Source organism: Homo sapiens, chromosome 9 (assembly GCF_000001405.40).
Source record: "Homo sapiens chromosome 9, GRCh38.p14 Primary Assembly".
NCBI lineage: Eukaryota > Metazoa > Chordata > Mammalia > Primates > Hominidae > Homo > Homo sapiens.
This window is the reverse complement of record NC_000009.12, coordinates 126,498,331-126,521,298: the sequence shown is the minus strand read 5'-3', so window position 1 is coordinate 126,521,298 and position 22,968 is coordinate 126,498,331. Positions and strand designations below refer to the sequence as shown.

General features: G+C 54.8%; 1 protein-coding gene and 1 long non-coding RNA gene across 3 annotated transcripts in view, besides 5 other annotated features; both read right to left on the bottom strand.

Annotated features, from left to right (window-relative positions):
- Positions 1-524: 524 nt before the first annotated feature.
- Positions 525-4,838, bottom strand: LOC105376276 (uncharacterized). The gene is made up of 2 exons (XR_930358.4): positions 4,618-4,838; positions 525-2,944 (listed from the first exon to the last, which is right to left on the bottom strand). It is a non-coding gene; the product is annotated as an uncharacterized LOC105376276 (long non-coding RNA).
- Positions 1,122-1,628: an enhancer, noted in NCBI's record as "H3K4me1 hESC enhancer chr9:129281950-129282456 (GRCh37/hg19 assembly coordinates)". NCBI's record gives its function as "activates a minimal SCP1, AML or CMV promoter by ChIP-STARR-seq in primed H9 embryonic stem cells {active_cell/tissue: H9 hESC(primed)}" and the evidence as "EXISTENCE:reporter gene assay evidence [ECO:0000049][PMID:30033119]".
- Positions 4,109-4,198: an enhancer, noted in NCBI's record as "active region_29016". NCBI's record gives its function as "activates an Ori minimal core promoter by ATAC-STARR-seq in GM12878 lymphoblastoid cells {active_cell/tissue: GM12878}" and the evidence as "EXISTENCE:reporter gene assay evidence [ECO:0000049][PMID:35858748]".
- Positions 6,874-6,933: a silencer, noted in NCBI's record as "silent region_20288". NCBI's record gives its function as "represses an Ori minimal core promoter by ATAC-STARR-seq in GM12878 lymphoblastoid cells {active_cell/tissue: GM12878}" and the evidence as "EXISTENCE:reporter gene assay evidence [ECO:0000049][PMID:35858748]".
- Positions 12,932-13,432: an enhancer, noted in NCBI's record as "H3K4me1 hESC enhancer chr9:129270146-129270646 (GRCh37/hg19 assembly coordinates)". NCBI's record gives its function as "activates a minimal SCP1, AML or CMV promoter by ChIP-STARR-seq in naive H9 embryonic stem cells {active_cell/tissue: H9 hESC(naive)}" and the evidence as "EXISTENCE:reporter gene assay evidence [ECO:0000049][PMID:30033119]".
- The window catches only part of MVB12B (multivesicular body subunit 12B), a 180,212-nt gene continuing 171,502 nt past the window's right edge, over positions 14,259-22,968 (bottom strand). For both annotated transcript variants that reach the window (NM_033446.3, XM_005252297.1), the window contains exon 10: positions 14,259-18,122. In NM_033446.3, the coding sequence (NP_258257.1) occupies positions 18,036-18,122 (87 nt within the window). In that variant the 3' untranslated portion in view covers positions 14,259-18,035. The remainder of the gene's footprint in view (positions 18,123-22,968) is intronic.
- Positions 21,755-22,049: a silencer, noted in NCBI's record as "tiled region #6068; K562 Repressive non-DNase unmatched - State 12:CtcfO". NCBI's record gives its function as "represses a minimal TATA promoter and a strong SV40 promoter by Sharpr-MPRA in K562 cells {active_cell/tissue: K562}" and the evidence as "EXISTENCE:reporter gene assay evidence [ECO:0000049][PMID:27701403]".

Here is a 22,968-nt window from a genome sequence, read left to right as displayed (position 1 = left end):
ACAGCCTAGTCAGTTGCTTTCAACAGAGGGTCTGAGAGCGCACACGAGCCGGGTCGGGTGCTACCGTGTCGCACAGAGGAATGTTGTAATCATCCCCCAAGACCTTCCGTGGGGGACCTCTGTACCTGATTTTAAAGGTTTGGTAGACGCAATTTTGAGAGCTGCCTTTGGAAACTCAGAGAGAAAGCTCATTGTGGTGCTTAAAATTCCTAAACATGAATTTGGTGGTTAAAAAGCCAAAGGCCTAAATACATTTACACATATTCAAACAAAGTATTTTAAGCAATAACCTCTACGGCTCCCTTTCTGGTTTTTCTTCTACTTTTTTTTTTTTTTTTTTTTTTTACGAGGACAAGACCTTTTCTAAGTAGCGAAATTTCCCAGTGGAAACACTTCTTATCATGTTCTCACTGTCACATCTCTTGATAAAACCTGAGGATTCAACTTCAAGAAACAACCCACCCACTTGAAATAGTTTTTTAAAAAAGAATTAATTCTTGAGAATAAAACACTCTATTAACAGATGCTTTAAAATATGATTTATTGCACACACATAACAATAACCTAAAATATCACATCGCTGGAAATAAATCACTGCCGATCCCATCTCCTTTCCATGCCAGCTGTTTTCCTGTTTCTGCCGTCTTTCCCAGCCCTGGTCTGTATCGGCAGATAATTTTAAAAGAGGCAGAAGAATCAAGAGATGGAACCCAGAACTGTCTCGGCTGTTTGGGTGAGAATTGTGTTTTCAGAATATCCTAGTTTGTCTCGGGCAGTTTGTAAACTTCGCAAACCGCAAGTAATGCGGGGTGTCTCCGAGTCACTCTGTTACCAGATAAATTTACAGCCAGAAAAGAGACTATCAGTACGGTCGTTTGTGCTCCCTGCCACCTCTGCCCAAGTACCTGGTCTTGTTTAAGATGAACTGCTGTCATCCGAGAGCTGCCCGGTCACTGGGGACCACAGGCAAGCCGTAAATAACCAGATCTGTGGCTACGGATCATCTTTGGCTAGCTGTCTGGCCTGGCCGGTTCCACCATAGCCCAGCTGGCAAATGTGGCTGCCTTCGTGAACAGGTGACCCACAGCAGGCTGTGGATGGGCAGTGGGCTGGGGCGGCCGGCAGGCTTCTGCAACAGCCTTTCAGGACCAACTTGGTTCCAGCCCGAACCCCCGCACCCACCGCCTGGCCAGGCCCCGGCCACAGACCTTTGCATTCAACAGCTTCTGACACTAAAAATCAAGGTCTGTCGGCCGTTGTCATAGGAATGCAATATCCTCTGGAGGTTCCCTTATTAAAAACCAAGTCTTGCCGCCGCCGCCCAGGATAGATTTCTATTTCATTTGTATTGATCACCGGGAAATGTCTCATTCTCTGGTTGACAAATATGGCCAGCAGGGAGTGAGTTAGCGTTTGGTGGAAAACATTTGTTTCCACAGTGATTTGGGGCACCCTGAGCTTGAGCTGTGGTTATATTCACAAGGTTGTGGTGAGTAATCTCCAGCTATGATATAGAATTACAAATGTGAGAAGTGCAGTTTTGCAGAACAATAGGGCCTGGCAGGGGCTTCAGAAATCATCTAATGCGGCCGCTCCATTTCACACTCGGGGTTAAGGTAAGGAACTTGACTTATCCAGGGTCACAGAGGCAGTGGCAATTCTAGGAATTTATCCTACAGATATTACCCACTGGTGTGTGCAAATGATACTCATCACGGCACTGTTTATAAGGGCAGAAGATGTGAAACCACCTAACCAAACGCCCATCATAGGAGATTCGGTAAACAATTATGGTATATAGGCAGAATCATGTGAAATTGCCTTTTTTTTTTTTTTTTTTGCTGGTCAAAAATGGTTGAATATGAACAATCCCATAGGGGCCAATGTACTCCTTCTATTGAATGGAATGACGTGTAGTCTTCAAAGGAACGAGATGGAGAACTCTCCCAAGATATATTATTAAATGAAAAAAGCAAGCTGCAGAACAGCGTACCTGTTATGCTCCATATCTGTTTTTACAAAAAGAGACATAGCCACATTGGCTGGTATAAGCCTCCACTCGAGAAGGAGAGACAAATTGTCCGCGGTGGCTGCCGGGGGAGGGAACAGGCAGCTGAGGTGGGGATGATGTGAGGCTGATTTTTCACTTTATAGCTTCTGTACCTTCCAAATGTTACACTAGGTGTGTGCATGGCAGACAAGACATCAATTCCAATGTAAAACAAAGATCCGGATTTCAGTAGAGCCCTCATTACTAGGGGTTAAATGCTCAGCCAACTGTGTGGTCTGACAATTCTGGGCTTCAAGTCATTTCATCTCACGGAGCCTCAGTTTTCTCATCTGTCAAGTGGGGGTAATGATAGTGTTGACTTTTTAGAGTGGAAGTGACAGTTTCCTTGAGATACGAATGAGAAAGGCTTGGCATTGTGGCACAAAGTAAATGTTACATGTTATTATAAACGACACATAAATCATAACACACACATGCGCGCACATCAATCCTTACATTGACCCGTTTAGCATTTTGGTTTTCTTGGAAGAGTCTTAAAAATAGCTGTGTGTGTTCGGAGACAGGAGTCGAGATTGCTGAGTGTTACGTTTGCTGGGGGGACCGTGTTGCTGTTGCAGTGATGGCTGCCCACGCTGAATTTATAGGGTGGGTCTGATGATTTTTTTCTGAATCAGTAAATGGTCTTCCGCATGTCTATGTACACAGGCAGGTGAACTAATAGAATTAAGCTTATTGGTTTAATTCCTCTGGGCCCCCTTGGCGAGTGGAGAGCAGCTGGATGAATATTTTAATTAAGCTCTGACACCCAGAAGTCAAAGTCCTGGAGTGGTCCCATTGGGCAAGGTCTCTCGGTTTGGGGTTTAATCAAGTTCGGCTTCAGAGTTCAAATTTCTTCCTGGACAGAAATATGTCATTAGGCGTCCAAGATTTCCACTGGAAAAAAAAAATACAACTTGACTATATTTTCTCTAGAGAATGACACCATGATTCGATTAGCCCTTTTTCCTTGACATTTTGCCCACTTTATTAACTTCTGCTTTGCTTTTAAGCAGGCAACTACTGTTTTACTTCCCTGAAGAAGCTCATAATATTATAATTCAAGTGTCAGGACAGATTAGGTTAAACGAACTGTGTAATTCCCGAAGGAAAACAAACTTCAAAACGGACGAGGTTTGCCTTGTCACATGTCATGGATTGCATTAGCGGGGAACGACGAGTCTATCACCTAATGTGCTAATGTTGGCTCAAGTGTTCCCCACTCTGCAAGGTGAGAAATGACTTAGCTAACAAAACATTTAGTTTTCCCCTCTTTGCATTCTTTCTTTATGAGATTCCGAATGTGACATTTTCACCAAAAAATCTCTGTGCTTATTTGTGAAAAATGTATATTAAAACCAAAACCCATCAAATGGAAAGAAATCACAGATGGTTTTATTCACAAGCAGTAGAATTAATGGCCTCTCTTCTCTTTATAAATATTAGAAGCAGATGAGTTCATTACGCTCTCACCCTAATAAAGAAAACCTGCTTGATTTTGACAAGACATCGACTTATCTAACACATCTACTAAATAACAAAGCCACTTCCCGCCCGTTAAAACACGGCTCGAAAACACCAGCTTTACCTGGACTGATTCTAAATTAATGAAAAACACTCCAAAGACAGCAAACGAAGTGGGGCGCGGGGGATGGAATTCAAGAGATTTTTGAAAATGTGACTGATTTTGAAAAGAGAGGGTTTTGAAATGTTTACTTTGTGGTGGTTTGAAATTTTTACATCTTTCAACAAAGCGGGCAGAGAAGTGAAACCATCTGAAAGGGCTTTTGAAAAGAGCGATTCAGCACAAGTTGGATGAAGCTGCGGTTCCTTTATCTCGGTGAATCTGTGGACATCGTGCAGGGGAGGCCCGGCCCCTGGTCCCACTCCTCCCCAGTGCGGCAGCCTCAGCCACGGCTTCAAAGCGCCGTTGGCTGAGCATCCTGGGAGGGAATCGGACACCTCGCCCTGGGGCCGCGCGGCTCGCTAGTTCCTATTCCTGAGCCCTGCAGCCTGATGTAGTCATCTCCTTGGTCATGGGAGTCCGGGGTATTTCTGTTTGTGCCGCTTTCAGCACTTGTTAAGAAAGAAGTGGGAGGCTTATGTGAAACTGCGAAAGATGGTTTTTCTCTCCAGAGCCACGGCATTTGGGGCCTCAGCTTATCCATCATTGCAAAGATTGTTCAGAGAAATGGAATGAGTCAGCCCTGCCCAGAGGGGAAGGAAAATGAAGCATGCATGGAGCCTCTGTCCCGGGCCCTTCTTGGCTGGGCTCCCGTGGAAGGGCGTGGGCTCCTTAGCCTGAAAGCTGCCCAGGGAATGTCTTTGGGGAGGGAAGCCACACAGTTTAAGAAAAATGGCACATCAGCATGGCTTTGGTCCCTTATTCTACCATTCAGGACTCTCAACCAGGATTCCATCCCACACTTTCCCACCCTAAGACCAATAGCGGGCTTACACCGCAGAGATCAGACACCTGCACTCAAGTGTCATGGTTGGGGGCGGGAGTGGTGGTCAAAGCTGAAACACTATTTCTAAGCAGCTCCTTAAAAGTGAACCAAGCCCGGTACCTCCACATCGTCCCAGGAACCTGCATCTTTCTTGCTGTTCTGTGCTCTCTTCCTCCAAGTGAGGGTCTATGAATTCTCTGACAGGCCCAGGTGGAGTTCCGAACCGTGAGATCATCCGAGTCCTTCCTTCATGCCTCAGTTTCACATGTAGCCAACTTCTGGGGAGATTTTTGAGGAAGCAACAAGTTTGAGCCAAGACCCCATGATTGAAATTCTCCAATAAATCCCTCCCAGCTGAGCCCTAAGGGGCTGTAGTTGCTTCAGCAAGCAGGGACGGCAGGAAGGGGGGCGGTGGGGGGGGGGTGTTGCAGACTTCAAACAGGACCTGGAGTGGTGGGGGTGGCGGGGGATTGTGCCGGGAGAGGAGGCCACCGAGCCAGGGCTCAGAGTTAATTAGCCTGCATGGTGGCACCTCTACGCACAGCTCTCTCCCTAGGCAAGCATCAGCAACTCGGCTTCTTTGCCGACATGGCCTCTCATTTAGAGCCAAGTCTGGAAGAGTAGGAGACTCGAACCACATTTAGAATGAACGTTTGCGGCCCTTGGAAGGCCCCAGCCTGGGGGTACTCTGCCCTCCCACCAGGAGTTCTGAGGGAGCTGAGGTTGTGTTCAAAAGCCTTGCAAACATCAAGTGTGGATTGTCTTCAGGCACTAGGCTGTGTCTATCACCTGAGTGACGGGACCATCATCTCCCCCATTTTACAGATGAGAAAAGTGAGGCTCAGAGAGGCAAAGCCACCGGCTCAAGGGCATATTGTGGTGGTAAGGGGAATCCAGGTTGGAATTCATATCCTCTAGTTTACGCCACTGGCTGGAGATGGGGACCTAGCCAGAGACCAGCAGAGGACAGTTGGCCCTGAGTACACGGCCCTCACCTCAGCCCTGACCCCTCGCACTGTCCGTGACATTCAATCAGGTGCCGGTGATGTCTGGCCCAGCAGTTGGGGCAGGGCCTCCCCAGCTTCCCGGCGACAAATGGTTCTCATTTGAAAGGGAGGTTATAAAAACACATGCCCAAAGACACTGTCAGGGAACTGAGGATTAATCTCATTTCAGTCAAAGACCATTTCAAATATTTTTCTGGGGGGGAGTGGGGGCGGCACAGCCCTGGCTGGGAAGGAAGTCAGAGTTGCTGGCGTGCCCCTCAGGTCGGCGGGTTTGAAGGCGGCTGAGATGCCGGCTGGTGGGGGCCAGGGTCACTCCGTACCTAGTAAGGCAGAGTCTGACAGAGGAACGAGGCTTTGCTCCACGAGTCCCCAAGGCTGGCTTTGCGGGAGGCCTACACTCTGGCGTGGACGCTCACACTGCGTTCAATATGTTGGCTGTGTTTCAGGGCAGTTTAAGTTGCCAAAAGGAAGGGAAGGATTAGGCGCCTGGGACATTTTCATTTTCTGGATGGTGTCAAAAAGCGGAGTGTTTTTGCCGTGTGGCTCAACCAGAGCGGGCCCTGAAGGGCAGCCAGGGGAGGGGCACTGCCGCCAAGCCTCCTGCCCAGACACCTGTGGCTGCACAGCGAGTCCCCCACTCCAGCCAGGGACTGGAGGGAGCACCCACTCTAAGCCACCAGCTCCCAAACTGGGGGGCCTGGGTCCCTAAATGGCAACCCGTGGGATTTGGGGCACAGGCTTGGGACTGCAGGTGGGGCCTCTGCTGAGCGGGCATAACCCCAATAGCTCCATTTACTGAGAGCTCAGGGGGTGCCCAGCAGCGTGGGCCAAGCTCATCGTATTATACAATGGCCCTCTGAGGGGAGGACTTTTCTTATCCCCATTTTACAGCGGGGGAAGTTGAGGTTCAGGGAGGGGCGCAGGTGGCTTGCCTAAGGACTGGAAGCTGGGCAATAGTGATACATCTTTAACTTTCTCAGAAACCTTTTAAAGGAGGGACTGTTGACCTTCCCATTTTCCGGATGTGAATGTTGAGGCTCCTGATGTGACTGCCCAAGCCCACCCTTTAGGGGCGGGTGGAGCTGGGGGGCTTGCTCGGGCCTCTCCAGTCGACCCGCATTCCCGACCAAAGCGAGCGCGGCTGGGCCCGGCCCCGCAGTCTATGGGAGCCACCCCAGGTCCACGAGGTCCGGACGCCGCAGGGGGTGGGAGGCCGGCGGGGCGCTGCGGGGACTTGCGCGGCGGGCTAGCCTCCTTCCAAACACACGTCCGTAGCGCGGTGCCGAGGGATTGATTTGCCTCCAGTCCGCGGAGCTCCGCCTCGTGTGTGCTGGGGTCCGAGCATCCCCAGTGCGCGGCCGGGGCGTTCCCGCAGGGCCCAGCGAGGGCCGGGGAGCCGGGCGCCCCCGCGCGGCCGGACCGCGTGAGAACCCGTGTTTGGGGGCGGAGCGCAGGGCGGGGTCCCGGGCGGGCGGCACGGTGGGAGGGGCCTCGTGCAGGCGGCTCTGGAGGTCCACCCTGCTGGGCAACCTAGAAAGGGAGGTGCCAGAACCCTTGGGTTCCAGGGGAGAAAGCAGGCCAGAGACCTCCTGGGGCCCTCTCGCTGGGCAATGGAACTCCAAGGGGCTTTGCCTCGCTGCGAAGTGCCTCTTCCTGGGCCTGCGGGAGGTGAGGTGGTCTTGGCCCCTGCCAGGACCCACCCTAGGGAGCGCCCCCCAGTCAGTGAGGTGGGGTGCTGGAGACCTGGCCCGACATCATCCCTCTTCCTCAGCGGGAAGCTCTCTTGAGCTAACTGGGGCTGGTGCTTAGCCTGGAAGCAGATTGCTAGCGTGCTCCTGAGTCTCTGCACAAGGCCAGGGGACAGGTAGGGGGAGGAAGCTCACACGACCTCAGACCCTCAGTCTCCCTTCCTGCCCGTGGAGGGGCCTGGTGGGGCTTCCCCGTGGCCAAACGCCCTCTGCTGCATCCCCCACCCCTGCCGTGTGCCTTGCCCCAGGCCAAGTATGTAATGGGTTTGCTCAATTCCTCCTCCAGAAAGCCCTGGTTGCTGCTGGCTGCTGTTATCCCAGAGCCCCAGGGGCACATCAAGGGAGGTGACTAAGCTGGGCCCTGAACTGGGCCTGTCTCACCTCATGAGCCATCCTCACCTTAACCCCACAGGACAGGACACCTCCTTCCAGGTGTGCATAATCCAGGCCGCGCCAGGAGCGGCACTGGAGTTGGACATGCCTGGGCTGGAGGCCCTGAGGTGCCCCTGTCTGACTGTGTGCTTCTGAGCACTCTCTGGAGCCTCAGTTTCCTTATCTGCTAAATGGGCCATCCCTAACTTCAGGACTGTGGTGATGACACACAGAAGGCTACCCCTGCTGTCCTCTGTAAACGTTTGCTGATGCCCAGTGAACAATGAAATACCTCCCCCCTTGACATTTGCTTACCTTCCCTGGGAAACACATCCTAGTCCAGCCCCCTCTAGAGCTCAGGGCATACCTTGCCTCCTCCAGAAACCCTTCCTCACTCATCTTCCAGGGAAGGTACTGGCAGGAAAAAAAGCCAAACATTTTTTTTAAAGGGTTTGGGAGGATAGGCAAAGATTTTTAAACGAGACACAGAAAGAACGATCATAGAGGAAAAGGTTGAAAATTGGACTATGTTTTTTTTTTTTTTTTTTTTTTTTTTTGAGACGGAGTTTCGCTCTTGTTGCCCAGGCTGGAGTGCAATGTCGCGATCTTGGCTTACCACAACCTCTGCCTCCCAGGTTCAAGCGATTCTCCTGCCTTAGCCTCCCGAGTAGCGGGGATTACAGGCATGGCCACCACGCCCAGCTAATTTTGTATTTTTAGTAGAGACGGGGTTTCTCCATGTTGGTCAAGCTGGTCTCGAACTCCCAACCTCAGGTGATCCACCCACCTCAGCCTCCCAAAGTGTCGGGATTACAGGTGTGAGCCACTGTGCCAGGGTATTTAGTTTTCTTATACCAATTTTGACATTTTATATTTTTCCAGATATATGGTAATTAATACATGGTTACTAATAATATTCCTGTTAACTGTTATATCTGCAGTTATCTTTTGTTTTAATTCTTATTTGCCTCTTCTTTCTCCTTGTCTGAAGTTTGTCTCTTTTAGTCTTTTCAAAGAACCAAATTTTGACTTTGTTCATAATTTCTGTTTGCTTGATTTCATCGATTCTTTTTATCATTATTTCCTATTTCTTTGCACTTACTTGTTGCTCTTTTCCTATCTTCTTCAGTTAAAAGCGTAGCTTGTTTATGTTCAATCTTTCTTGCTTTTGGATAAATTTAAACTGTAAATTTCATTGTCTACCGTTTCAATCGTGTCCCACAATTTTTTTATTTTTATTTTTTAGAGATGGGGTTTCTGTCATCCAGGAGAGTGGAGTGCAGTGGTGCAATCATAGCTCACTGTAACCTAAAACTCCTGGGCTTAAGCAGTCCTCCTGCCTCAGCCTTCCAAGTAGCTGGTACTACAGGAGCACACCACCATGCCTGGCTATTTTTTTTTTTTTTGAATTTTTTTGTAGAGACAGGATCTCACTATGTTGCCCAGGCTGGTCTCAAACTCCTGGCCTCAACTGATCCTCCTGCCTTGGCCTCCTGGAGTACTGGGATTACAGTACATGTGAACCACCATGCTTGGCCTCCCACAAATTTTGATATGTAGTGATTTCATTATTATTTTCCTCTAAGATGTTAATAATTTCCCTTATGGCTTCCTCTTATTTAATTGTAGTGCATTTTCCAATCATGTGTGGTTTTAAAAAGCTATCATTTTGCTTTACATTTCTTATTTTTTCATTGTATGATCAGAGATGGTTTTAGATATGACGTTGGCTCTTTGGAAATTATTGAGGTTTGTTTAGTGGCTTAGTTCTTAGTTGATTCTGAAAGGATATGGGATCTATGCCAGGTTGAAAGTTCTCTGCTTGTTAATCAGGTTATTCAAACATTTTATATCTTTGCTCATATTTTGGCAATTTGACTACAGTTTCTGAGAGAGGTGTGTTAAAATCTTCAAGTGCAATTACTGGCTTATCTGTTTTTGTCTCTCTAGGTCTGTCAGTATTTCAAAACTGACAGGCTCTTATTCCAAACAACTTCTCCCTGCCCAATGTTCCCAGGGTCCTCCCACATCTCTTGGAGGATGCCTTTTGTTTATATTTAACTCATGCTCTGGCTGGTCTATGACTTCTGCTTCTGCTGGTGTGGGTTGCTCAGCTTTTTGTCTTCCCTGGGTGGATGAGCTCTTCTGATGTCTGTTCTTCCACCTGCCCCTGGGAATTCATAGTTCCCTGGGACTCAGCTCCACTGGCTGGTAACATGTAACTGGGGAAGTGGTGAAAGCTCAGAATTGAGTTGTTGTTGTTTTTTTTTTTTTTTTTTTTTTTTTTGAGATGGAGTCTTGCTCTGTTGCCCAGGCTAGAGTACAGTGGTGCAATCTCGGCTCACTGCAACCTCTGCTTCCTGGGTTCAAGCAATTCTCCTGCCTCAGCCTCCCGAGTAGCTGGGATTACAGGCACCTGCCACTGTGCCCGGCTAATTTTTGTATTTTTAGTAGAGATGGGGTTTCACCATCTTGGCCAGGCTGGTCTTGAACTCCTGACCTCGTGATCCACCCGCCTCAGCTTCCCAAAGTGCTGGGATCACAGGCGTGAGCCACCGAGTCCGGCCAGAATTGAGTTCTTACTCTCAGCTGCACATTGAAATCACCTGGGAAGCTTGAACACTACTGACTCCTTGGTCCCTCCTGCAGAGAGAGATTCTTGTTTGATTGGTCTGGGTGTGGGTCTGGGCACAGGAATTCTAACCCACTCTCAGAAGGTTCTAATGTGCAGCTGAAGTTGAGAACCCTGTGCCCGCTCCAGAGAAGGATGAGGAGCTGGGGATGGATGTGTCTTGGGTGTTCCAAACTGTGCCAACCTCTGCCCATGTGCCCTCCCCATCAGGAGTCCAGCCCTCAGGGCCTTCCCAGACCTCTGCCCCCGCACCACCATTCCCAAGACCTGTGTCTCTGCAGCAACATGACCCAAGGTGTGGGGCGAGGGGAGGAGGGGGCTCAGGGCCAGGCAGCTGCCCGCCTGTGCTGCCCTCTGCTGACACCCCTCCCCAACCTGCAAATGGATGAAAATGACCCACCTAGGGCAACGTGGAAGGGATGAATGGGCATAGCCAGAAAACTGACCTCTGCCATCTGTCGTCTAGGCACCCAACCACCTTTCACTCTGCTCAAGACTTTATTGAGGCTTCTTGGCCAGGCACAGTGGCTCATGCTTGTAATCCCAGCACTTTGGGAGGCCAAGGCGGGTGGATCACGTGAGGTCAGGAGTTCGAGAACAGCCTGGCCAACATGGTAAATCTCTACTAAAAATACAAAATTAGCTAGATGAGGTGGCAGGCACCTGAAATCCTAGCTACTCAGGAGGCTGAGGCTGCAGAATTGCTTAAACCCAGGAGGCGGAGGTTGCATGCAGTGAGCCGAGATCACGCCAATGCACTCCAGCCTAGGCAACAAGAGATAAACTCCATCTCAAAAAAAAAAAAAAAAAAAGACTTTATTGAGGCTTCTGATGCCCATGTTCATGAAGCAAGCCATGCTCCTAATTTTTTTTTATGTGCATTATCCATATCTATTTGGAATCAACTTATCTCTGAAGTTCTCCAGTCCCTGAGATCCAAGCCCCTGGCCATTTTAGTGTTGGGTCTTGTGACCCATCTACCTCCTCCCTTTCTCTGACATCCCCCAGAGCTGGGTTCTAGAAAGAGACACAGCAGCCGGTGGCAGTTCACCTTCCTGTCCCACCATCATCACCATGGACTGATGCCAGCTTGCAGCCAGGCCCCGTGTTGGGTCCTGCAGCTTCGGAGATGAACCAGACAAGGCTCAGCTTTCATATCCTTGTCTGATCTCTCTGGGGCCAGCATCGGGGTGTGTCCAGGGAGGCCTGCCGCTGGGCATCACAGGCCCTGTATTGCTGGTGTCTGTCCTTCTGGGGCTCCTCAGCAATTGAGTCTAGTTCATCTGTCTACTTCATCCAGTGTAAGGAATTCATTCAGAGAGCATTTGCTGATGTCCACCATTTTTCCAGGCCTGTGCTGGGCACTCTGGGTATACAATGGTGGGGGAGGGCATAATAAATGAGACATGGGGCTGGACGTGGTGGCTCACGCCTGTAATCCCAGCACTTTGGGAGGCTGAGGCAGGTGGATCACCAGGTCAGGAGTTTGAGGTCAGCCTGGCCAATATGGTGAAACCCCATCTCTACTAAAAATACAAAAATTAGCCAGGTGTGGTGGTGGGTGTCTGTAGTCCCAGCTACTTGGGAGGCTGAGGCAGAAGAAGAATCGCTTGAACCCGGGAGGCGGATGTTGCAGTGAGCCGAGATTGCGCCACTGCACTCTAGCCTAGGCGACAGAGTGAGACTCTACCTCAAAAAAAAAAAAAAAAAAAAAAAAAAAAAAAGAGACATGGACCCCTTCTTCCAGGAGCACATAATCTAATGAGAGGTACAGGTGGCTGCAATGCAGCGACATGTGGTCCCCTGTGCAAGGCACAGGCAGCTTGAACAGGAGAATCATTGATTACCTTTGCCTCCAAGACATCCGGATGGACATCACAGAGGAGGTGCAGGAACAGGGTCTTGAAGGATGAGTAGGAGTTTTCCAGGTAGAAAAATGGGAGAAAAGCATTCTAGGCAGAGGGAATAGCATGTGCAAAGGTAGGGAGGCATATGAGAGGTAAGGGTTTGGGAAGCTGCAAATAATTCAGCAGGGGCATCAGTGGGAGGTGAGCCAGGCCCAGGAGGGAGGGGCACAGAATGGTGGGGACTCAGCATTCATTCCTAGGGTGATGAGGGCAGAGTAAGTGGAGGAGTCCTGTTGGCTGGATCTGGGCTGTGTGGGGGATGAATGACAGGGGACAGGGTGATGTGGGAGGCAGGTGTGGCTAGGAGGCTGATGCTGCGATCCAATTGAGAGGGCTTGAGGCCAGAACTGATAATACCACAGCAGCAACAAGAGAATGTAGTGGCCGGGTTTGAAAACAGTTAGATGACAGAACTGTCCAGCTGCAGATGGAGCGATCCCAAAGGGCTCCAGGTGGGGGCCGTGGCTAACTCTAGGGGGAGATGGTGGAGCTATCCCAGAGATGGGAGGGTTGGAGGAGGAGGGGCCGTTTAGGGCTTGAGATAGGATGGTTCATTCAGCTCGGCATGTGCTGAGGTCAACGTGAGTATGGGACCTCCACATGGACACCTCTAGGTGGCTGCTGGAACTATGTGGCTGGAGCTTGGAGTGACTGACCAGCGACAGAGCTAAGCACAGAGAAAGGCTGCAGGGAGCTGCCGGCGGGGACGCAGATGGGAAGAGAAAGCCCCGGAACGTTAGGGTTGAGATGGTGGTCAGGCTGGGAACCAGCAGCTGGAAGCGCAGGGGGAGACGTCGGCTCAGGTGCCATGGGGCCCGTGGGAAGTGCAGAGGATGAACAGGGGCTGCCAGGCTGGCCCTCTGAGGCTGGGCTGCACCTGCCTTGGGCACCATGGGCCTCCTCCTGGGCTGGTCACTACTGCCTTGGCTTAGGCCAGTGTAGTAGATTTCAGCTCCTTGCAGCCCTGGGGCCCTGGGCATTGCTCTGTCTTTCCAAGCAGTACTTGAGGCCTTGTCCTCGATACCAAAGACCACCACCTGTACTTCCTTGGTGTCTCCAGACCCAGCATAGAGGAGGGACTCTGTACGTTTTGTGGACAGTAACATAGAATCAAGGCCCCCCCAGAAAGACCTGGCACGTGCGTGCTAAATGTCTCTGCTGTGTGCTAAATGCCCTGCCTGGGTCCTCATTCCATCTTCCCAGGGCAAGCCATTGAGGGAGGGGAACTGTGTCGCTTTGGACAGATACAGGGTGCAGGTGACCTGTCGAAGGCCACGTGGTCAGGAAGTGGCAAGGCCCACGCTGGAACCCAGCATCAGCTGTTCTATCTGCACCACGGGTCTCTTATGGGATCCTCCGGGCTGCTTTTCCTCTCCTACTGTGGGACAAAGACCTGAGACATCCCAGAGCAGGGGTCTGGGATGTGGAGGAGGCGGGGCTGGTGCCCCTGAGGTGAGCGCTGAGCTAAGGTGGCTGTGCTCCAGCTCCTTCCTGCCCGAGTCCGGTGTGAACGGGCTGCAGGCAGACTGGTGTCTGGCCCAGACGCACAGAGCATGCTAAGAGGAGGCAAAGAGCTTTGATGGTGAAACCTGAACTGCCGGCTCCTCACAAGGAGCGCTGCGCCTGTTCCTGGGCCCTGCAGCCTCCTTAGCTGGTGTCTGGAGTGGCCTCTCACAAGCAGGTGAGCAGTCGGGACAGGATTGAAACCACCCAGACTCCGACGTGGTCTGCGCCCCCAGACAAGGGCTCTGGGGGGAGTCGGAGGTGAAAGGCACCGAGCACCCCGGCCCTCCCCACCGGGGCCACCTGGCAGGAGCTGCTCCTGCCTTCACGCCAACTGGGGCTTTTCTCCTTCCAGGAGCACCCCGAGGGCTGCCACCAGATAACAGCGGGGCTTTCTGCATCCCCCGGAATCCCACTGACTTGTAACCAGGTCGTCTCAACTAAGCAAGGGGCAAAGAAGCCCACCAGTCCTTTCTAGAAGGCTGACAGGCCAGGTGGTGACAAGAGCCCTGCTGGGGGAGAGAGAGCTTGGGGCTTGCCCTGAGGGATACTGACCTCTGCTGCCTTCAGACACCACGACAGCAAACTGGGGAAAGAGGTTAAAACAAACGTTTATTTAACAAATTATATTAAGAATACAGACAATCACACAGTGGACTTCCCTTGCCAAGTACAAGAGTCACCTTGAATAAATATGCAGCGGGGACGTCATCCCTAAGGGTCTTCCTTGTCCAGGCCTGACACAGTCACACAGCAGCTCCACGGCCTTAGCTGGGAGAACAAAGCCGTCTCTGGTGGCAACCCCCGGACATGTGCTCAGAGTGGCAGGAGGAGGCCGGGCCACCCTGAGGGTGCCAGGCAGCCCAAGCAGGGGCTGTGGGCTCAGGGGTGAGCGCCTGGCGTGGCCTCCAGGGGCAAGGCAGGCTGCGAACCAAGTTCATGAGCTCAGCCGCTGCGTGGCTGCCAGGCCTGGGGGCTGCTTCCTCAAGGCCCTCCTTTGCTTTCATCCTTAGGTTCACCTGCTTCTCCAAGAACCTGCAGGCTGGGATTCCCCACAGATGCCTGCAGGCTCTGGAGGGCCCTCATCTGGGTGGAGGAGTACGGGCAGGCCACTCCTGACCATGCTCTGCGCCCACTGCACAGTGGCCTGGTGACCGGCAGGGCCCAGTGGCGGCCGGGAAGTCCGTAACTGGACTGGAAACAGAAAGGGCAGCCCCAGCACGGGCTTGCGACAGGATGGCTGGCCCTGCCTCTGCCGCTTAGCAGTGGGCCAAGTCAGCCTCTTCAACTCTGACAAGGAGCAAAGAACATCTACTTCCAGGTCACTCTGTTTTTAGGGGGAATGAAAGGAGAAATGTGCTTAGAGAGCCTGGCCTAGAGCCTGGCCAGGAACAGGTGCTTAGAACATGGGAGTCCCTCTTGTCCTCTCACCGACCTGCAATTCCTTTACGTGACCCCACTGGGTTCTCATCTCTCCAAGTGGCGGAGGACGTGGCTGGCATTTGTTCTTGGACTTGGGGTGGGAAGAAAGGCCTTAATTATACATTTGCAAGGGAGACTGCAGCAAAGCACCTGCTCCTTATCACCTTTGTGCCATTTCCAAGGCCTTTGGAGATACTTCAACTTTCCAGAGAGAAAGGGGAGGCGGTGGGGACAGTGTGCTCTGGTTAGCCGTTCTGGAGGGACAGAGGCTGCCAGCAGGGACAGAAGCAGTAGTGGGAAGTGCTGTGGGGGGACCTGAGGGATGAGGCCAAGACCCTTCACATTTCCAAGGGAACCCTTGTCCTTCCCTCCCACAGTGGCCAGAGGGCTCGTGGAGAAAAGTACTCTCCCAAAAGACAGAAACGCTCTCAATTCCTAGGTTTGAGCCAGAGTTTCATGCCTCAGTTCTCCTGCACGAGCCCCACTCAGGTGGGCTTATACACACGCATGTGCGTGCACACACACACATATACACACACACACACACACACACACAGGCACATGCTTGTCCTCACCCACCTCTCAGAAGGCAATAAATGGTGGGTTAGGAGCAGCCTAAAAGCTACCACAGACACCAACTCGTCCTTAACACTGTCTCTGCTTACTTATCTTAAGCTGCCGTTTACTACAACGTTCACAGTCATTTACTCTTATGCTAAGTCCGTAATGCTATGGAGAAGATGGCTCCAGCTCGCTTGAGTCCATGCAGTTTGTCCTCTTCCTGGTGTCCCTATCCATCCAGCAACTGCAGGAGGGCATGCGGGGGCACCTGGCTGGGACCCCAGCTCGACAGGGGCCTGCAGCGGCATCAGTGGGGGCTGTGGGAGCCCCTTCCTCTCCTGCAGCCGCCCTCACTGCTTATTCTGCGTCCTTGCAGACAGGGCTCCCACACCACTGCCTCTGAGCCTCCTAGGGTCCAGCGGCGCTGCCACAGGCCTCTTCCCAGTCATGGGGGCGGAGTGAAGGGCCCCTGGCATTACCTGTTAGAGGCAATCTCACAACCAGGGCACGAAAAGAGGTGAAGGACAAAGTTCACAAACCCTAATGAAGTGGGCAGAAGTGGCCAGAGCTCTGCCCTCTGCCCTCCTGCTGCCCCCACCTGCCAGGAGTCACCCTTGCTGTTGGGCTTTGTCACACAGGGCACCACCCGAGGAGCCACGGCAGACATAGGTGCCCCCTGTGGGTGCCACAGGGCTCCTCAGGTCCCCAGAACCACACTGGCTTATGTGAACGGAGCATCGGCAGCCAGCCTGGCAGCCCCCTCCCTGCTCAGCATCAGTCCCATGACAAGGTCCTGCTGCTGTGCCACCCAGGAGTCCTGAGAAGGCCACCCCCACCAGGGGCATCCTCGGGTCTCAGGGAGGGAGAAGTGGCCGCTTCCCTTATCCACAGAAATCAAGAGGTATCCGAGTGAAGATCGGGGTGGCAGAGGAGGAAGATGGGTCCACAAAGAGGCCTGGGGCCTGGAGACGGAGGGGCTGGTGCAGGGGCATGAGGTATTTCTGGCCCCGCCCGCCTCTTGGCCAGCTGCGCCGTCCGGCGCTGCCTCCCTTTCCTCCCGTTCCTCTGGGCCTCAGCTAGCACTACTGTGGGCTGCCCAGGACCTGCAGCAGGAGGCCGTCCCCGCTGAGGCAGAGGCTTCCACGGACGCAGGTAGTGCAGCCCCCAACCGCAGCATCAAGCCTCCACATCCAAGAGCCAACTCTTGGGGACCCAAAGATGTCAGGTCCCCATACTCTGAGGAATCAGGACACAGCCCAGTGCCTGACACCACAGAGTGAGGCAGCCCTTCGGGTGAGGGCCTGGGCCCCGAGGGATGGCAGCCACCACTGCCTAGGCAAACGCACCTGGGGCTGAACTTGGCGCCCGGCACTTTGAGGACGCCAGCACCAGTGGGCACTCGGAAGTGCCAGTTCTGGCCCAAATTTGGTGACCTGGGTCAGAGGGACCTTTCAGAATGACTTGTTCCCGTCAGCAGATACCGTCAAGACACGCCTGGCTCTGAGAGGGGCTGGGTGCCCGTGTGCCTGTATCCTCCTGGGGCCAGCACGTCTCAGAGGGTGTCCCTGTGGTCCCCGGGTCAGGGCACGGGGCTGAGGCACCTGGAGCTATTGTTGGCATGTGGTTGTTGCACAGATGAGCCCTTGGGGGAGGCGCGCCATGGCCGAGCACAGCGTCCTGGTGGTGGATCCAAGCAGGGCCGTCAACCGTCCTCCTCCCCAGAAAGCAACAACCCCTCCACCGGGGGCAGGGGTGCTGCTCCCCGACTTCCAGGCGACTGGGTGACAAGTCCATGGGATGTCCAAAGGGCAGGGTCCACCCCAGGGCCACTGGCTTCTTCCTCCCATGTCTTCTCAGGGCTGCTGTGAGATCCTGCAGAGAGGAACTTGTTCCTGGCAGCCCTGGGCCGGGGAGGATCAGCGACCCTGGAGAGTCCTAGGCAAAGCTGCCGGCCCTCAGGGTCTTCCAGGAAGAGACTCAACGGCTTAGTGGGGTCTGCCCTGGTAGGTGACAGGAGGGAGCGGAGGGAGCCGGTGGGCGTCACTGGGCGGCCAGGGCAACTGCCCGGGGCCCTCAGGGTGACTCCGTGGTGAGTGAGGTTTTTGGAGGACAACTGGTCATCACACAGACACGTTAGGAGCCGCTGGTCACTACAGCACACACAGATTAGTCATGGTTATGAACAATGTCCCCAGGGAGGCCGGGGTGTCAGTGAGGCCAGCTGAAGACAGGATGCGCCCACTTAGCTGCCCAGTCTCCGGGCCAGCCCTGCTGGGGCAGTGTGGGAGGGAGGGCTGGCGGAGGCGGCAGGAGGAGGCGGGGGCAGCAGCCCCTGCCGTCAGTAGTCTGGGCGGCGGTGGTCTCCCCGCAGGTGGCCGCTGGCTCCTCAGGACTGCGGGATCTGCTGACACCTGGTGGGGCTGGGCGGGAGCCTGGCGGCTGCGCTCTGCTCTGTGCGGAAGCTGTACTCGTACTGCAGGGGCGGGTGGGGACAGAGAGACACAGTCAGTCCATGGGACACTAGGGAAACCCCTCCACAGCCTCAGATCAAGATCAGGCAGAGGCCTGGGCCGCCTCGTGGGGCATCTTGACATGGCGCAGCTGGCCAGGCCGGTGCCAGCCAGAGCCTGCCCTCGTGGGCCCCTGAACTGTGCATGTGGCGTGTGTGCGTGGACACGCCTGCGGGGGTGACAGGCTCCTGTGGTGATGACTGGTACCCTCCACAGTGCCTGCCTGCTCCCTGTGAGGCCAGGCCTGGCACCAGCAGTGTGTAAAACCACGGTGCCGCCCATCTGCCAGGCCCGTGCTGACTGTCATGGCCTCCCACCCAGCGGGACAGTTTTCATGCCCCTGCTGGTGAGGGTAGATTCTCAACCCCAAACCTGGCTGAGGCTGGTCTCAGCTGCCAGGCTCTAGGGACCCCTGATATGCTGGCTCCGCTGAAGCAAGGACCAATACCAGGTGGTGCCCAGGGTCATGGGAGGGGCCTCCACTGCTGTCCCTGGCACCATCCACACCCTCCCCATGCATTCCTCACAGAGTCCTCAGAGGCACCCCTGCTGAGGACTCCTGACAGGCCACAGCGGGGCCAGGGCAGCTGCCCGGTGGGGGGACCTTCCTCCACGGCTCAGCCCTGCTGCTCCCCTGTCTGGGGGCAGGAGTTAAGCCTCACGCCAGAGACCCCAGCTCACCTAACCGACCCTGGCTCACTAAATCGCGTTCCAAGTCTGATGGAAATTTAGAGAAGGGGTTAAGTACCTCTGAGGGGGCTAGGAGCACCTGTAGTTCACTTAAGAGGCCAGGTGAGGTCTCGGTGCCCAAACATAAGGCAGGGCATGTGGGCAGAGCAGGCACGGGGCACCCCAGCCACAGAAATGGGCTGGCAGCTGCCTGGCCGGACACAGGTGCAAGGCGTTGGGGCTGGGTGGGGTATGGGGAATGGCCTGGAACCCTGCGTCAAGGCAGCCTCATGGTCACATGGATTTTAGGAAGCAGGAGCTTAGATTAGATCAGTGGTTTTCAAGCATTTGAAGTATTTATTTGAAAAGTTTTAGCAGTAGAATTGTCATAAGAAGGGCTCCCCTGCAGACAGCAGGTGGAAGTGGAGCTGCCCTATGGGTGAGCTGACCATGAGCTGCAGCTCCTTGGGGGACACCTGTACACGGGCAGGCCAGGAAGGGAGGCCCTCAGGAACACGGCAGGGGTCACATCGCCCCAGCAGGAGGCGGAGCACTGCACCCAGCCCCAGGGAGGGCCCTGGGGTGCCCACGCCCTGCCCACCAGCAGGCGGCTTTCCAGGCCTGCCCAGCCCTCCCTGCTGCCCAGAGCGAGCCGCCTGCAGCAAGGAGCCCTCCCAAGGGCCCTGATGAGCGAGGAGGGCCGCAGGGCTGAGCCTTCAGGGGCACAGTGGGGCCCAAAAGCCATCCAACCATGAAGGAGCATGGGAGGCCTTTTTCCCTTAAAGTGGAAAACTGGTGGGGAGGCTGTGGCAGCCAGCAAGTCACAGCCCAGCACCACGTCCATGGCCACAGACTAGCGCCATGTCCACAGCCAAAGCCCAGCACTATGTCCATGGCTGCCACTGCTCCACAGTCCCCAGGCTGACCCGGGACAGATGGACAGACCCGAGTCTCAGCTGGGGCTGAGGCTGGCTCTGTCCCCGTGTGCACGGTGGGCTGAGCAGACATGTGGCCCCCAAACCGAAGGGAGCCCTGTTCACAGCATCTGCTGCCTGGCAGGGTGCAGAGGTAAGGACCCGAGGCTTCAGGGCTACTCAGGCAGGCTCCTCTCCTCTCCTGCCCTCAGTGAACTCATCTCTCAGGTGGGGTGATGCGCCCATGTCCAGGCCTGCCTGGAGGATGGAATGAGCGATGGTAGATCAGGGCCCGCCGCGCCCTAGCACTGAGCAAGCGATCACTGAGCATCTGGTTGCTCCAGAGAACCCACCATGCAGCGCCAGCTCTCTCACTCCAGCCCTCTCACTTTCCTGCTCGCCAACCACCAGGCACAGGCCGCGGTCAGGAGACTCCGGCTCCGGGAGGCTGAGGAGGGGGAGCTGCGCCAAAGTCTGGGAGGACACTGCCACCTGGTGGCCGCCTGGGCACATGCACGGCAGGGAACAGCGGCAAATTCATTCCCTGGCTGGCTTCATCAGCCCTCACTGACATCCGCCCTGCGCGGGACTCCCAAGGTAGCAGAGGAGGGGGCGGGCATGCCCAGCACAGCCCAGCATGAAGGCCACCTCCGAGGGCACATGCACGGGGCGTGGGGATCACCGGAGAGAGCAAGGAGGGCTTCGCGGGGCAGGGGGCATTCACATCTTGAAAGCAGATTCGGGGCCTGACTGGGGAAGGGCATGGACGGCACCTAGGGCAATAGGTGCCAAGGTGCAGAGGAGAGTGCCACGGGCACACATGCCTGCGGAGACAGCGGGGCTGAGGGCCTACGGCGTGGATAGTTAGGCCATCAGCCCCGGCTCAGGAGAGAACATGCAGCAGGCTTTTCAACTCTGAACGCACACCAGTCCCCGGGGGGTCCCGGTCAAATGCAGATTCTGACTGGGTAGGTCTGGGGCCAGGCCTGAGAATCTGCATTTCAAATAGCTCCCAGGTAACCCCATGCTGCTGGTCTGGGGATCAGTTTAGAGAATTCTACGACCCAATCACTGGAACCTGGGAATGGGTGTGGACATGGATGGGCAGAGAGGGAAGGGCCAGAGACCACACGCTGTGCAGAAAGGAGCTGGGGAAGGACTGGTTGGGGGAGGGGGTGGGACATGGCTTGGAGGTGCTCCACTTTGGATGCTCCAAGGCCATGCCAGGGAGATGCCTGCAAACGCGAAGCATCTCAGATGATAGAGGGAGAAAGCCCAGAGCCAGGTTCCTGCAGGGCAGTGGAGGGGCTGGGGGAGGCGTCCTGGGCCGCGCCCTTCTGCTCCTTCAGTAGGTCTTGCTGTATCTACTGGGCCGGGTTCCTGGGGGTGGCAGGGAGTGCTGAGGGCTGGCCGGCCAGAGAGAGCAGGTTAAGGGCGATTGCAGCCCCAGCCCGAGTGTCCACAGCCAGAGAGCCTAGGCCCGGGCCTAGCGGGAGCTTTCTGGATGGTGAGCGGGGGAGCAGGACGCTTCCACGCCTGTGTGAGCAACTGGCTGATTCGGCAGAGGGGCTGTCGTGGGGACCCTGTGCCGCTGTCCCAGTCTCTGTGGCCAGGAGTGGGGACAGGGTCACGGGGAGGGCATGGCTGGGCCCTCCGGGCTGGGCTGAGCTCCTCTCTCCCGGCCCGCGGGCTGGGGGAGGGCGGAGAAGGCGCCCCTTCCTGCCTGCACCACGCCGGTCCCCGCGAGGGCGCACAGATTGCGCCCCCACCCTCTCTCCCTCGGGATTTTTTCCCTTTTTAGGTTATCTTGGCTGGAGAAAAGCGCCACCCACCCCCGCTTCTTGTTTTCCCTAACTCCCCAAATGAAATTTCAACATATGTCCCGCGACATAATCCCCTCTGGCTGCGGCCGCCTTCCCGCAGACGCGGTCCCTGCCCGCTCCTCCCGCCGTGTTTACCCAGGAGACGGGGCCGCTTCTGGAAGCCCTTTCACTCCCTTGGGCAAACAGCGAGTACCTTTGAAGGTGGATTTGGACCCGGATCTGTTTACTCAAGACATTAGTCTCCTGCATAAGGAAAACCTGCACTTGCGAACAAACAGCAAATCCTTTTTGAATTAAAAAAATTTTCAATTAAAAAGCATTTGGTCCGCACAGCCCGGTCCAGCTGCGCAGCGCCGGGCCTGCGCCCTCTGGTGGGCACAGGCCGCCACTGCAGCAGCTGGGCAGCCCGGGCCTGAGGCCTCTCTCGGGAAAGAGATGTAACTGTCAGGGGTTCTGCCAGGGGTCCTGGAGGCTCTGCCAGGGGTCCCGGGGACCCTGCCACTGATGGAAGCAGGCGTCTCAGGCCACGGTGCGAGAGTCTCAGCTTCTAAAAGCCTTTTCTCATAGTGAGGTCAGTGTCCTGTGATAGAAGGTGCCAACTGCAGCTTCCAGCAGCACCTGGAAAGCACCCAGCTTCGAGGCAAAGAGGGGGCAATAGAACCTACTGGTCTACCCACAACTAGGACGATTCGTGTGCAAGTGCCTTGAAAGTGAAGAGAATTAGCCCTGGTTATGCATCAGAACCAAAGGCTTTAACCACAGTGATGCATGGCCCCCACCTGTGGTTGGCAGGAGTGGTCCTGGTTTAACCGGCACGGGGACACCAGCATTTTTTGAAAACACTCAGGTGATTTCAGTATTAATTGCACTAATCACCAGAGGGGAAGGCAAGTGCACTGCCCCTCCAGCCTCCTCCCTCCTTCCCACACCAGGTCTCATACTAAACACTCTAGAGGGCTCCAGACGAGAAAAGGCAGTAAGGGGCTGTTCCCAGCACCCGAGCTTTGCAGAGAAGGAAAGTGAAGCCCAAGAAAGGATCTGACTTCCTGAGGTCCCAGAGTGAGCTGGGCAATGCTGGACGAGGCCTGGGCCCAGAGAGGCGCAGGGGGCAGGCGCTGGGCTGGCTGGGAAACCTGCATTAGGGCAGGCATTGGCACCTACCTCTCCTGGGGTGCAACTCCAGCATGGGGGCCAGACCGACAGACATGAACTAGTGAGCTCACGGGTGAATCACGATAGGGCCAGGAATGGTGTAGTCCAGAGGGCAGGGGCTGGGCCAGGTGAGGACAGGTGGGAGGGAACCAAAGGGGCCAAGGCTGGGGCCAACGAGAAGAGTCTGGTGCAGGGGTGGACAGACACTGATGGGTGGGCTTGGGCAGGCGGATGGGCCTGGCCCTAGCACA